The sequence below is a fragment of the Homo sapiens genome, chromosome 11, assembly GCF_000001405.40.
Source record: "Homo sapiens chromosome 11, GRCh38.p14 Primary Assembly".
In the NCBI taxonomy this organism is placed as follows: domain Eukaryota; kingdom Metazoa; phylum Chordata; class Mammalia; order Primates; family Hominidae; genus Homo; species Homo sapiens.
In genome coordinates, this window is record NC_000011.10 from 114,695,749 (window position 1) to 114,712,230 (window position 16,482).

General features: G+C 37.8%; 1 protein-coding gene across 8 annotated transcripts in view; it reads left to right on the top strand.

Moving 5' to 3' along the window:
* Positions 1–16,482, top strand: part of NXPE2 (neurexophilin and PC-esterase domain family member 2) — a 349,427-nt gene that overhangs the window by 231,473 nt on the left and 101,472 nt on the right. For 5 of the 8 annotated variants that reach the window (XM_017017209.2, XM_017017207.2, XM_011542604.3 and 2 more), the window contains 4 exons: positions 2,297–3,030; positions 8,243–8,304; positions 10,033–10,248; positions 10,647–11,321. In XM_017017209.2, the coding sequence (XP_016872698.1) occupies positions 2,297–3,030; positions 8,243–8,304; positions 10,033–10,248; positions 10,647–11,182 (1,548 nt within the window). In that variant the 3' untranslated portion in view covers positions 11,183–11,321. Of the gene's footprint in view, positions 1–2,296; positions 3,031–8,242; positions 8,305–10,032; positions 10,249–10,646; positions 11,322–16,482 lie in introns of those variants that run through there. The other 3 variants (XR_001747769.2, XM_017017212.2, XM_017017211.2) reach the window with 1 other exon arrangement.

Here is a 16,482-nt window from a genome sequence, read left to right on the forward strand (position 1 = left end):
TTGGGAGGCCAAGGCAGGCGGATCACGAAGTCAGAAGTTCGCGACCAGCCTGACCAACATGGTGAAAGAACGTCTCTACTAAACACACACACACACACACACACACACACACACACACAATTAGCTGGGTGTGGTGGGGCGCACCTGTAATCCCAGCTACTCAGGAAGCTGAGGCAGGAGAATTGCTTGAACCCGGGAGGCGGAGGTTGCAGTGAGCCGAGATTGTGCCACTGCACTCCAGCCTGGGTGACACAGCGAGACTCCATCTCGATTAAGAAAAAAAAGAAGAAGAAGAAGAAGAAATCAGGCTGAGCTCAGTGGCTCAGGTCTGTAATCCTAGCACTTTGGGATGCTGAGACTGGCAGATCCCTTAAGCCCAAGAGTTTAAGACCAGCCTGGGCAACATGGTAAAACCCCACCTCTATGAAAAATACAAAAATTAGCCAGGTGCTGGTGGCTCACACTACCTAGGTAGCTGAGGTGGGAGGATTACCTAAGCCTGGAGCCTGGTAGGTCAAGGATCCAGTGAGCTGTGATTGTGCCACTGCAATCCAGCCTAGGTGACAGAGTGAGACTCCATATCAAAAAAACCAAAAAAAAAAAAAAAAAAAGAAAGAAAAGAAAAGAAACCAACCATAAGCTAGCATCCATTTTAAATACAAAGATATAGGTAGGCTAAAAGTAAAATGACAAAAATAGATATACCATGCAAATCCTAACCAAAATAATGCTTGTATGAATTTATTAATATCAGACAAAGTAGATTTCAGAACCAGGAAAATTACCAAGAATAAATAAGATCATTATGTAATGGTAAAAGTGACAGTTCATCCAAAATACATAACAACCAATACATGTGTGTACATCTAATAGCAGAGCTACAAAATATTTGAAGAAAAGCATATATCAATAAAAAGAAAAGGAAAAATTCAGAATCATAGTCAACAACATTAACATTGTTCTTAGTAATTGATAAAATATGTAGAGAGAAAGTCAGTTTAGCAGGTTGAATGACGGCCCCCTAAAAATGTGTCTACCTGAAACCCCTGAATATGACCTACAGTAGTCCTTAAATCTACTAAATATATATTCCAAGACCCCAGTGGATGCCTGAAACCGCAGATAGTACCAAACGCTATACAGTGTAAATGCTGTTTTTTTCTTGTACATAAATATCTATGATAAAGTTTAATTTATAAATTAGGCACAGTAAGACATTGACAAAAATAACTAATATTAAAATAGAACAATTATAACAACATACTGTAATAAAAGTTATATAAATATGGCTTCTCTCTCTGTCTTTCTCTCTCTCAAAATATCTTATTGTACTATACTCACCTATTTTTGGACCATGGTTGACCATGGGTAACTAAAATCATGAATAAGGACGTGCCACTATATTTAGAAAAACACTCTTTGATGATGTAAATAAGTGAAAGGGCTCAAGATGAGATCATCCTGGATTAAGGGGGATCCTAAATCCAGTCACAACTGTCCTTTTACGAGAAGAAAAGGGGAAAACACACACAGAGGGGAGGATTACATAAAAATGGAGGCAGAGATTGAAATAAGCTGTCTACAAGCCAAGGAACACCAAGGATTACTGGAAACCACCAGGAGTTAGGAGACATGTATGGAATATATTCTTTCGCAAAGCGTCTATAAGGAACCAACCCTGTTGACACCTTGATCTCCGACTTCTGGCCTCCAGAACTATGAGTGAATAAATTTATGTTCTTTTAAGTCACTAAATTTGTGATGCTTTGTGATGTCAGCCCCATGAAACTAATAGAGTCAGCAAAAATGTAGAAGAAGTAGAGAACACAACCCTTCAACTAAATCTGATTGACATTCATAAAACACTTCCTCCAACAGCAGTGGAATATACATTCTTTCCCAGTGCACATGAAACATGTACCACATTGTGCTCTGTTGTTTGCATTGTTGATATAGAAAATGATAATATGGTTTTTAAAAAGAAAAGTCAAGTGAGGGGATAGCAAAAGGAAAAACTCTAAAATTGAATCATGAAATAGTATGTATTGATAACATGATTGTATCTAGTTAATTTTTAAGTCAGTGACTCCTAAAGAAAACCATCTGCTGGCAGCAGAGGAAGTCATACTACATGGAAACCATTTCTGAAGATTCCATAACTGAAAACCAGTTAGTATCGATTTTTGATATTTAATTTATCACACTGAAAGATGTAAAATAAGCCATAATAATTTATATTGAAAAGCAAGCCCTATTGTTTGCTGATGATATTTTCTTTTCCCTTTCAATATTTCAGTTCTCGTTCAACTTGGAAAACCATATTATCCTGAACCAAGGGAACATCTTCAAAAAATATTCACACTCTGAAACACCACTGTGTCCAGCAGTTTCACCAAAAGAGACTGAACTTAGAATAAAGGACATTATGGAGAAACTAGACCAGCAGATCCCACCCAGACCTTTCACCCATGTGAATACCACCACCAGTGCCACACACAGCACAGCCACCATCCTCAACCCTCAAGATACGTACTGCAGGGGGGATCAGCTGGACATCCTTCTGGAGGTGAGGGACCACTTGGGACACAGGAAGCAATATGGTGGGGATTTCCTGAGGGCCAGGATGTACTCCACAGCACTAATGGCAGGTGCTTCAGGAAAGGTGACTGACTTCAACAACGGCACCTACCTGGTCAGCTTCACTCTGTTCTGGGAGGGCCAGGTTTCCCTGTCTCTGCTGCTCATCCACCCCAGTGAAGGGGTATCAGCTCTCTGGAGGGCAAGGAACCAAGGATGTGATAGGATCATCTTCACTGGCCTGTTTGCCAACAGAAGCTCCAATGTCTTCACTGAATGTGGCCTGACCCTAAACACAAATGCTGAACTGTGCCAGTACATGGATGACAGAGACCAAGAAGCCTTCTACTGTGTGAGGCCTCAACATATGCCCTGTGAGGCCTTGACCCACATGACCACTAGGACAAGAAATATTTCCTATCTTAGCAAGGAAGAATGGAGGCTTTTCCACAGGTAAAGAGGCTTTTAAATACAATAGCAGATAAAAAGAGGTATCCGACCAAACTCTGCCTAGTAGTTTTGCCTAATCAAACTTTTGTATCATGTCAATTATGTTGACTAAATTATAATTAGGTCCTCAGAGTCAGTTCAGCTTGGAGTGTGTTCACAGGGATCCATACAAGTCACCCCTAGAACTATTTGCTGACAGGAGTATAACCAGTGAAGCACTTAATATAGACCTATAGTTCTCCATGGTTTGCAATACTTCCAGGTTCAGTAATTTTTTATAGACCAGTATTTTCTATAATGTGTTCCAGGGAATACTAATCCTATAGAGTATTAATAGATGCTGTACAATAAAAAAGTGGTGAATGATATCATTGTTCAGTCGAGCTTTACCCCTTACATCCAGTGAATCATCAAGCTCTATACATTATCCCTCCCAACTATCTCCTGAACCCAGCCATTTCTGTCTACCACCATTGCCTCTATCCTTGTATAACCTGCCATCATACCTCAGATCCTTGCAACAATCCCCAGAGCTGATTTCTCTGCCCTCAGTCCTGTTTCTTCCAATCTATTCTCCACACTGCACCTAGACTAATGTTTTTGAAATGCAGTTATGTCTTTTACTATTTCCTCCTTAAAAGCTTTAAGATGACCCCACGGCTCTAAAGGTGAAATTTAAACTCTTTAATATTTTTACAAGGACTTTCCTCCCTTGGCAGCCTCTTGTCTCACCTTTATGCTGCCTTGCCCTCTGTCCGTCAATGGAACTCCTTTTATTTAACAAATGGACCATGTCCTCTCACCTCTGGCATTTCACAAGCTTTGGTTTACACATCATTTCCTCTAGGAAACTTTCCATCTCCCTGAGTGAAGTTCTAGTCCTATATTTTTCCTTAGCATTTTGTTCTTCCGCAACATAATTCTTATTACATTATTAATTTTCCAGTATATTTTTAATATCCTCTGTTAAGTTGTAAGCTCTGCGAGCATTAAGTGTTAACTACTTTTCACCATTCATTCATTTTTTTTTTTTTTTGAGACCGAGTCTCGCTCTGTCACCCAGGCTGGAGTGCAGTGGTGCGATCTCGGCTCACTGCAACCTCCGCCTCCTGGGTACAAGCAATTCTGCTGCCTCAGCCTCCTGAGTAGCTGGGACCACAGGCACCTGCCACCACACCTGGCTAATTTTTGTATCTTTAGTAGAGACAGGGTTTTACCATGTGGGCCAGGCTGGTCTTGAACTCCCCAGCTCAGGTGATCCACCCACTTCAGCCTCCCAAAATGCTGGAATTATAGGCATGAGCCATCACGCCCAGCCCATTCTTTCAATTTATAAGTAGTCAGCACCTTCTGTATTCCAGACACAGCACTAGGTGTTAGGAATTAACATTCTAGTGGGATAGAAGGACAAAAAGTAAATAAACAGATTTGTCTTTTACTATTTCCTCCGTAAAAGCTTTAAGATGACCCCACGGCTCTAAGGGTGAAATTTAAACTCTTTTAATATTAAAACTCTTTAACATGAAGGTCATAAGAGTAACAGTTTCAAACGTGATGGTTGATGCTATTTTAAAACGGTGTCAGGTAAGGCTTGTCTTGAGCAGCAACCTGAGTTAAGTGAGGGAGTAAGTCATGTGAATTTTCGGGAAACAGCATTCTCAAGAGAAGGAATAGGACCTGAGGCAAGAGCATGTTGGAATGTTCTAGGAACCATGGTGGAGGTGGAGTGCAGAAAGGCTGGAACGCGGGAAGTGAGGGAGAGAGAAGATGAGATAGGGAGGCAGGGCCTTAGAAGTCATCTATGTCTGTCAGGAAGTCATTCAGGGCCAGTATTTTGTCTCACAGGCCCAGCACAATGCCTGACACTGAGAAAGTTCTGAATAACTATTTGTTGAATAAAAAAAAATAAGTAAAATAATACAATCTGGAGAAATAATTAAAGTTAAGTTGGTTTCTTTGCAGCAGGACTTCTCAGAAACTTTAATATGTATCCCTTCAAGCAAGAATAGAGCATACAGCATTTCCCAAATTTATTTGGCCACAGACCACTTATTTTATGGATCATTTAAAGAGACTTTGGTTCCCCAGTTTGGGAGCTGCTGCCATAGAAAGGCTTTAGTTTTCTGATATGTCTTCAGAGGGCAAATTTCCAGGATAGCACAATATCCTGGAAATTCAAGTTCAAATCCAATTTAAGCATTATGATGACACAGAGAGCTGGGCACAACTGACCCTACATCACTACAGCCTCTCCCTTTCACCCCTACGTCACCTTCACTTCTTTACATTTTCCTGATCAAGGTATGGAAAAATCTCTTTATCCCCTATGGCTCAGCTAAAAGAAGCTGGGATTTTAAAAATAAATTTTTATGAAGCAAAGGAAAAATAATCATGGAGACATAAAGGTCTTCCTGTCTTGAAGGTCTCAGAATTATGTCTTAAGTCTAAGGGTGGACTTAAGATTCTATACTCTATATGTTTTATATGTGCCTGATTCTATATTCCCTGTTGGCTACAGCTGGATCCCTCTTGAGGTGGTCCTCATTGAAGCCTGGGTTGAAGGTACCATCCTTGCACAGTTGCTGGCTGTGTCTCAGGAAATCCAAAGTCCCTAGTCTGGCAGACTGGCACATACTTTGGGTCCTAATCAGGCTTCTCAAGGGGGCTGTGCTCATGACAGTAATCATGATAGTAAGCTGCTTTATTTCCAAATAGACATAAGTCCTTCCCAGATCCCCTGCTCTATTCAAGCTATTAAGTTTTTTTCTCCTACTGCATGGAAATAGAGATTTCAGTCTCCCTACAGGTGATGTAGTGCATGTGCAAGGAACAGCTGATTACACATCCAAGAAGTCTCATGGACCATTCTATTGCTAAGCTCTAGGGTCCCTTCCTAGACCCAAGCCCAATTCTTTGACATCTTTCCTTCTCACGAATACAGGGACTAAGCCAGTTTCTGTTTCATTTGTAACATAGTACCGTTAACCCTTGAACAACCCAGATTTGAACTGCACAAATCCACTTATATTCAAAGCATTTTCAATCAAATGTGGATCAAAAATATAATATTCACAGGATGCAAAACCTAATATATGGAGAGCTGACTTTTCACATACTTGGGTTCCGTGGGGCTGAATGCAGGACTTAAGCATATGCTGATTTTTGTAGATGTGGTGGGGGTCCTGGAACCAATCTCCCACATATACTGAGGGATGACTGTAAATATATTTTCCCACCTGGGTTCTCTCCCTCAACCTTGGCTGAAGAATCAGAAATGTTACTTCCTAGGATATTTATTTCTTCAAATTAAAAAAGTCTTCTTCTTTTTAAGAGTTTTGTGGATAATCGTGATAAAAACATAAATGAGGAGTTACCATAGGAGAAGACATCACATAGGTAACACAGTTGTTCACTATTCTGTTAGTTTCTATTATGGTCTAATTAATTATAGACCCCTTTTTAAAATTTAATGCACATACACAATTACAAAAACAGGAGACATTAAAATGAATTCCTTTATAACATTAATACATGGTTTTAATCCTAATTTTAATGTAGCATCAAATTTTTCTTTGGTAACCAAATTTACAAGGTAGCCGGGTCTCAATCTCTTTTGTTATCCTCAGCCTTACCTGAGAAAGGTATGGGAGAATAGAGGTTTGGTCAGATTAAATTTCTTAAAGACAAATCTTACTCTTGTGCCAAAAATAGGTCTGATGGGATCCTCAGTAATAATAATTGCAATGATTTGTTGAGCACCTACTATATGCCAACATTTATGTTAGATGCCTCCCTTGTATTATACCATTTATCCTCAGTAAAATACTCTGGAGTGACTATTATTATGCTCATTTTGAAGATGAGAAAATTTAGGCATATTAAATAGGTTGGCCAAAGTCACATATCCAGTTGAATTGCAGAGTCAGAACGGGATTCCCAGTCGATCTTATTCTAAAGTCAATGGGCCATAGTGCTGTCTCCCATGACTCCACCACTCCATGCAGCCATCACGCCCAGCCACCCTGACCTCTCTTCAGTCCTCTGGCCTTCTTGATGAAGGGGATATTATCCTCACTTGACCCAAAAACTCATTTCCTGAGATTCAGGCAATTCTTCTCAATCTTAGAAAGGGCTTTCTCTATCCCTTTTGAAGGTTTCTGTGGCTCTGGCTCTGAAAGGGCCTACCTTCCCCCAGATGGATTTCATTCCGATAGAGTGAATTCAATTTGGCTGGACATAGTCACCATAGTCATTGGGACTGATACCTTGAGACGAAGCTCACTGTGCTGGCACTCGAAATATTATACTGAATAATATTGACTTGATTCCTATCTGAGGGAGATAACAGACTATGAAAAATAGACTCCTGGGAACTCAAGAAGGTGAAGAGTAGATGAAGATGAAGCTGGCAATGTAGACACTCATAGGAGATTTTTATACCAGTTAGGGAGCTTTTTCTGTAGGTTGAGGACAGAAAGTCATGGGAAAGTTTTACATAGGGGAATAAAACAGGTAGCATAGGGTTTGTATTTAGGTGGGATAAACCAAAAGGGCAGAAAGATAGTATTATAATAACTTAGGACAGGGTTCTCAAAGTAATGTCCGTAGACCATTGGCTTTGGGTTAGCCCAAGAGCTTGTTATTATAGAAATCCAAATTCTTGAGAATTTACCCCATAACTGTTGAATCAGAAATTCTGGGTGTGAGGCTCAGCAATTGGAGTTGTAATAAAGTACTGCAGGTAATTCTGATGCACGCTCAAGTTTGAGAAACACTAGCCTTGGAAAGGGTTGATGAGGGCCTGAATTACTACAGGTGGAAATGTGGAGAGGGTAGTTTGTGGTAGAGAGCCATTTAGAAGGTAAAATTAAAATAAGCATAGATAGATAGATAGATAGATAGATAGATAGATAGATAGATAGATGATAGATAGATAGATAGACAGACAGACAGATAGATAGATAGATGTTAGATAGATTTGATGGATTGCGTATGGAGGGTGAATGACTTTCTCTGGATCTCTAGATTCCCTGCCATTAGGAGAGGAACAGCTTTCCAGAATCCTGACCCATTAACTTCCCCAGGATATCTTAAATATATCAAAATAAGGGGGGAAAGGCATTTGGAGAAGAGAGGTTTAATCCATCTAAACCAGTGATTCCTACTTTATTATCTGGGCAGATATTAAGCTAATTTATTTTCCCATTTCTTGCAGGTCCAACATAGGAGTTGAAATGATGAAGAACTTTACCCCCATTGAGGTCATACCATGCAACAGTAAGTCTGGAGTGTTGTTGTCTGCCATGATCACAATTTATCCACGGAAAGGACATGCTTACTTAGAGATATTTATTCCACATTAACGATTTGATCTCTCATTTCCTGGGACAAATTACATCAACCACCTTGGGTTTTAGAGAAGGGATTTTATTCTTGGAAATTATTTTCATATCGATTTAAACCAATTTTCATCCCAAGTCAGATATAAAAGGCTAGGGAAACCATTAACTTCAGTGGCACTGCCTCAAAATGTACAGGCTATTTGTATTTAAATTTAGATTTATTCCTCCAGAGCCAATGATCAGGTGCTGGTGCTATGTGAAAAATGTCTCAGATGAGCTGCACAGATTCAGAGTTAGGACATTTCTTTGGTGGTTTCTAATTTCTCATTTAGCCAAGCCATCTTACTTGAAGTTCTATGAACTAGAATTTCTGTGAATTTTTTCTCAGTTTAATCATATGAACTTTAGTGGTCAACACAAAACCATTTCACTCATAGAAGTGATGATTCTGCTACACGGGAAATGAAGTGAATTTCAAAATTAAAGTAAAGCAAAGGACTTCCATTATAACAATCAACGGGGTGTACCATTACTCATCACCCCTTTTTCATGCATTTAGCAAGTGTTTACTGAGGTCCTACTGTACAAAGAAATTTGCTAAACCCTGTGGAGAACATAAACACAAATAAATCATGAACCCAGATGTAAAGTTCACAATCTATGAAGAAGACAGATCCCTTCTCTGCTAGGGCAACTATCATTCACACCCAACTTTTACACTGAAGAAAGTTCTTAGATTCTTGAGGCAATTTGAATGTTTGTAACACCTCTTTTATTTCCCTCTTGCCTGGACAGTAATTTCTAGTAAAGTCAGGCAGTTTCTTGGAAGATAGTACCAGACTGTAATTTTTGGAGCCACTTACAAATCTGATGTTATTCAATACGAACAAATGTAAGTTCCTCAATGTGTACCCCATATCCCAACAATGCAGGTAGATGACAAAGAAGATGTGCATTTTAAGTGGTGAATATAGAAGTGGCCTCAGAAACTTACCTGGGGGAAAACTCAATAGGAGTCAGTAAATACAGTTTAGGCTATTTTAATAGAGGAGTGTTCAGAACAGGGAGGTCATGATCCTACTTTTTTCTGTGTCAGATCACACTGAGAATATTACATTCAGTTCTAGACATGACAATTAAGATTTAAGGATTTTAAAAAAAGTATTAGCCAGAGAAGATGATTCTGGGACACACAAAATAAACAATGTGACACACTCATTTCATAAACACATTCAAGCTTCTTTTCCTGGATTAGTAGTTTGAGGAAGATGAGATTTACAATTCAGCGAGGCCAATGTCATTGGTGTAATATTTGGCAGGGCCACTGTGCCCTGCTATTTCACGGCCACACATTTCCTCCTGACTCTGGCTGGCTGTTCCACAGCAGCGTGGCTCTGGGGACAAGGTGGAGCCCAGGGACACATTGCAAATGCACAAGAGTCAACAGATCCCCACTCCAAGAAAAACTATTCAAGAAAAGCTATTTAATTCACCCTTTTAACATGATCTTATTAAATAAATATTTGTGGAAGAGAGGAAGGCAAAATAGAGCTGAAGAGAAAGGGGGAGGAAAAAGAGGAAAAGGAAGGCAAAAATGAGAAACATTTTTCCAAAATAATTTGTGGTAATAAAAATTACTTAATCTGGAAATTTGTATTGCCAGAGAGCGAGAACATAAAAAAGAACTGCCAGATTGGAATGAAGACTCCTTTCCCCAGTGGTTATACTTTGAAAAAAATGTGGATTACAGCATTTTGTAAACAGATCAAGTTCAATGAAACAAAAAATATAAATGACTGCTTGGAAAGAAAACTTATTTATCTCATGGGAGATTCAACACTGCATCAGTGGATTTACTACTTACAAAAAGCTGTGAAAAGTATGTATTTAATTTATATTTTGAAATTCTATTTGACTTTTGAGGGTTTTGAAATAATAATTAGAATTATTTGCTTTTCTTTTCTAATATTTATTTTATTTTATTTTATTTTATTTTATTTTAAATTTGCCTAACTTTTGGCTTTGGGCTTTTAATAAAAAGTTAAATTTTATCTTTTCATTCACAAATGTTAATATTTTTCTTCCTCTTCATGTATTCTCATAACAAGTTCAATATTTTGTTAAGATTGTAATGCACCTGGTAAAATTATCCACCTTACATAGGCAATAGTGCTTAGTTAGAAGTGATCTTGGTTAGAATTTTATACATGTTGTGTGCAGTTTAAAGTTATATCATTTTCCTTTTGTTAAAATATTTATTGATTTGTCTTTCATCAGCCCTAAAATATTTTGATCATCATGGAGCTGGGATCTTTAAAACACATGTTCTTCTGGATGTTGAAAGACATATTTTGATTCAGTGGAAAAAACATGGTCATCCATTTGTTACCAAAAAATTATTCTCAGTGAAAGATGAAAACTATATCCCACGGGAAATTGACCAGGTAGCAGGAGACAAAAACACAGCCATTGTCATTACCCTCGGCCAACACTTCAGACCCTTTCCCATCAACATTTTCATCCGTAGGGCCATCAATATTCAAAAGGCCATTGAACGTCTATTCTTGCGAAGCCCGGAGACCAAGGTGATACTTAAAACTGAAAACACCAGAGAGATAGAACAAAATGCAGAGATGTTCAGTGACTTTCATGGCTATATTCAGAATCTTATCATAAGAGATATTTTTGTGGATCTTAATGTGGGTATTATTGATGCCTGGGACATGACGATTGCATATTGCACCAACAATGCCCATCCACCGGATTATGTGATTCAAAATCAGATTGGCATGTTCTTAAACTACATTTGTTAGAGGAAAAATACAAAAATAGCACTAGCCACTTTCTATAGATGATCTCACATATACAGCGAAGATAGTTTAATGCAATCCAAGTTTTGAGGAAACTAAATTTGAAAAAGTTCTATTAAAGTTAAATATATGTAACATAACATTTACCATTTAAGCCATTTTATTATTTTATTTTATTTTTGAGATAGAGTTTTGCTCCTGTTGCCCAGACTGGAGTGCAGTGATGTGATCTTGGGTTACTGCAACCTCCACCTCCAAGGTTCAAGTGATTCTCCTGCCTCAGCCTCCCAAGTAGCTGGGATTACAGGTGCCCACCACCATGCCAAGCTGATTTTTGTATTTTTTAGTAGAGATGGGGTTTCACTATCTGGTTGGCCAGGCTGGTCTCGAACTCCTGACCTTAGGTGATCTGCCCACCTCGGCCTCCCAAAGTGCTGGGATTACAGGCATGAACCACCATGCCCGGCATTATTTTATTTTATTTTTCGAGACAGTCTCACTCTGTCACCAAGACTGGAGTGCAGTGGCATGATCTCAGCTCATTGCAACCTCTGCCTCCCGGGTTCAAGCGATTCTCCTGACTCAGCCTCCCACGTAGCTGGGATCACCAGTGTGCAGCGCCACACCTGGCTATAAACCATTTTTAAGCGTACAATTCAGTGATATTAAGTAATTTACAATGTTGTGAAACCCTCATCATGATCCATCTCTGGCACATTTTTAACATTCCAAAAAGAAACTTGGTACCTATTAAACAATAACTCCCCATTCGCTCCTGTCCTTGGCCCATGGCAACCGCCATTGTATTTTCTGTCCTTCTGAATTTGACTATTTTAGGTAGCTCATATAAGTGGGAACATGCAGCATTTGTCCTTTTCTGTCTGGCGTATTTCACTTAGCATATGTCTTTAAGGTTCATCCATATTGTAGCATTTGTCAGAATTTTCCTTCATTTTTAAGACTGAATAATATTCCGTTGTAAGTATGTACTACATTTTGTTTATCCATTCATTTGTTGATCGACATTTGGGTTGTTTCCCCTTTTGGCTACTGTAAATAGTGCTTCTAGGAAGAGAAAACCAAATTTAAAGGCATGTCTCCAGTGCTGAGCATGATGATTGAATAGCAAATCATCATCACCCATAATTTGAAGACATGTGCAGCCCAGAAATGCATAGATTAAATGATTCAAGTTTAGAGAAAATGTGATGTATACAGGAAAACTTAGTGGGATCATAATAGCAGTCTTCTTGCTTAGGAAAATTATTTGGAACTTAGTAACCAGTTGTTCTCTAGATTCCAGTAAGAATCATGGATCACACTTCAAAACCCACAGGCTCATTGAGAGAAAACAACTTAGTATTATGTTAACGTACAGACCCCAAAACCTTGATTCTTGGATATCCTAAAATATGATTTGGGATCCCCTCCAGAGGGCCTCAAATGACAAATTTTGTCTCTAAATCTTCCTCTCATTAGAAAGATATACACCCTTTCTATTAATATACTCTAGGTCTCAAGAGTAGGAATATTGTTATTAAGGATACTTCCCCTCTTAGGACTGTGTTTCTTAGTTAGAGGAAGTGAAGTTATAATGCTGTAACATCAGTACAAAGTTTGGGTCGTCAGGAGGTGGAGGTTGCAGTGAGCCAAGATTGCACCACCACACTCCAGCCTGGGTGACAGAGCGAGACTCCATCTCAAAAAAAAAAAGAAAAGAAAAGAAAAGAAAAGAAAAGCCTAGGTCATAAGTCTGGGTCATACACTTTAGCACCAGACTTCTCTAAATAGGGAACTCACGTTAGAAATTTCTTCCTTGTATCAAGCTACTTATTGGTTCTAATTCCTCCTTTAGGAAACTTTGAAAGTAAATTTAATTATTCTTCCAACCATTGCAATGTTAATTGCTTAAATGAGTTATCGTTTTCCCATGAAGACCATCTCAAATTCCTTCAACCTGGTTCTGACATGATAGTTTCTAGTTTTCTTACCTTCTCTTCACATGCACTGAAGTTTGTCTATATCACTCTACAACTCACTCTACAATGTGCCTTCTCCCTCATCTCTCACCTCAACAAATTGAATGTTTTAATTTAAATGTGATCCATTAGCCCCTATAAAAGAGGGTCTATTATTTCTCTTGTTCTAGAATTGCACTGTACAACACAGTAGCCATTAGTTGCATAGGGCTATTTAAATTTAAATTAAATTAAGTAAAAAATTAGTTCCTCAGTTGCACTATTCACATTTCAAGTGTTCAATAGCCACATGGAGCTAGTGGTACTATACAGATAGCACAACATGTGCTTGCATTCTTCTCTAGAAAGTATTTTTTAATGTTTTGTCATTGTAATTGGTTGCATTTTTAAAAGCAAATTCCATAATGCGTTATCATTTTTCGTGGTGAGTAAAAAACAAAAAAAATCACCAAATGTTGGTAAGTGTCAAGTCTCTGACTTTTAAGCCATTTACTTCTTGTTTATTTTTTAAAGAAATTCTGGTATCTAAATATTTCATAATGTTTTGGCTTAAGGTGATAGCTTCAGGTTATTGCAGATAATGACTATATTGCTAATATACAAGACTTGAGCAAGCCATTTGAAATCATAGAAATGTTCTCTATTGCTATTATCAAACCTCTTTCAAAAACCCATTTATGCACAATGGAATAAAACAAAACTAGAAATCAATATCAGATGCTGGGTGTGGTGGCTAGTGCCTATAATTCCAGCACTTTGGGAGCCAAGGCGGGCGGATCATGAGGTCAGGAGTTTGAGACCAGCTTGGCCAACATGGTGAAACCCTGTCTCTACTAATCATACAAAATAGCTGGGCATGGGGGCACATGTCTGTAGTCCCAGCTACTCGGGAGGCTGAGGCAGGAGAATCGCTTGAACCCGGGAGGCGGAGGTTGCAGTGAGCCAAGATCATGCCATTTCATTCCAGCCTGGGTGACAGAGCGAGACTCTGTCTCAAAAAACAAAAAAGAAAAAAAAAAAGAAATCGATAGCCGAAAGAAAATAGGAAAATCCATAAATATTTAGAAATTAAACATTGCACTATTAAACAGCCTATGGGTCAAAGAAGAACACACGAGGGATTTAGGAAATACCTGGAGACAAGTGAAAACAAAAATACAACACACTAAAACTTATGGGATGCAGTAAAAGTGGCAATAACAGGGAAGTTCATAGCAATAAATGCTTACATGAAAAAAGAAAAATGTTTGCAAATCAACAGCCTAACTCTGCCCTTCAAGGAACTAGAAAAAGAAGAACAAACCAAGTCCAAAGTCAGCAGAAGGAAGGGAATAATAAAGATTAGAACAGAGATAAAGGAAATAAAGTAAACATAAACCATAGAAAAGATCAAAAAAACTAAGAGTTGGTTTTTCAAAAAGATCAAAAATTTAACAAATTCATAGCTAGACTAAGAAAAATAGAGAAGACTCAAATAGCTAAAATTATAAATGGGCAATGAGACATTAAAATGGATGTCACAGAAATAAAAATGATTTTGAGAGACTACTATGAACAATTGTACGCTAACAAATTGTATAACCTAGAAGAAACTGATAAATTCATAGAAACATACAACCTACGAAGACTGAATCATAAAGAAATAAGAAATTTGAACAGACCTATAACTGAGAGGACATTGAAACAGTAATCAAAAACCTTTCAGTAATAACGACAACAATAAAAAGCCTAGGCCCAGATGGCTTCAGTGGAGAATTCTACTAAACATTTAAAGAAGAATTAACACCAATCCTCAAACTCTCCCAAAGAATAAGAGGAAGGAATGCCCCAAACTCATTCTATGAGGCAAGTATTACCCTGACACCAAGACAAAGACAAGAAAAGAAAACTACAGGCTGATATCCCTGATAAGCATAGATGCAAAAACCCTAAAAAGAAGGAATACTAGTAAACCAAATTCAATAGCTCATTAAAAGCATCATATACCATGACCAAATGGCAATTATACCTGGAATACAAGGATGGCTCAACATATGAAAATCAGTCAATGTAATGTGCCACATTAACAAAATAAGGAACAAAAACTACATGATCATCTCAATTGATGCAGAAAAAGCATTTGACAAAATTTAACATCCTTTCATGATAAAAACAATCAATAAACTATGAATAGAGGGAAACTATCTCAACACGATAAAAGCCATACACGAAAAGCCCACAGTTAATACCATATGCAACTAGGAACTACTGTTTTTCCTCTATGATCAGGAACAAAGCAAAGATGCCCATCCTTACCACTACTATTCAACATAGTACTGAAATTTCCAGCCAGAGCAATTAAGACAAAACAAAACAAAAAAATTTTGTTATATATAGCATATGACAAAAAAAAGAAAAGACACACAATTGGAAAAGCAGAAGTAAATTCTCTCTGTTCACAGATGACATGATCTTATATTTAGAAAATCTTAAAGATTCTGCACAGAAACTATTAGAACTAGGAAATGGATTCAGCAAAGTTTCAGCACACAAAACCAACACTCAAAAATCAGTTGCATTTCTATACCAATGACCAATTCAAAAAGAAAATTAAGAAAACAATCCCATTTCTTACAGCACCAAAAAGGATAAAATAGCTAGCAATATACTTAATTAAGGAGATGAAAGACCAAAAAGTATAAAACATTGCTGAAAGAAATAGAATACAAATAAATGGAAAGATATCCCATGCTTGTGGATTGAAAGACCTAATCTTGTTTAAATATCATACTATCCAAAGCAATCTACAGCTCCAGTGCAATCTCTGTCAAAACCCAGTGGCATTTTTTGTAGAATTAGAAAATCATAAAATTCATGTAGAATCTCAAGGGATGTTGAGTAGCCTAAATAATATTGAAAGAGAAGAACAAAGTTGTAGGCCTCACACTCCTTGATTTTAAAACATACTTCAAAGCAACAATAATTAAGATGGTGTGGTACTGATATAAAGATAGCTATGTAGACCAATGGAACAGAACAAAAAGCCCAGAAATAAACCCTGGCATATCTGGCTACATGATTTTCAGGAAGTGTGCCACAACTACACAGTAGGGAAAAAAAGAACAGTCCCTTTAACAAATAGTATTGGGAAAACTGAATATTGACATGCAAAAGAATGAAGCTGGACTCTTACTTTATAGCATATACAAAAATTAACTCAAAATGGATTAAAGACCTAAATGTATCACTTCTCGGCCTTTTGGCTAAGATCAAGTGAAGTCCTAAATGTAAGATCCAAAACTATTAAACTTCTAGAAGAAAATAGAAGGGAAAGGATTTAGGACA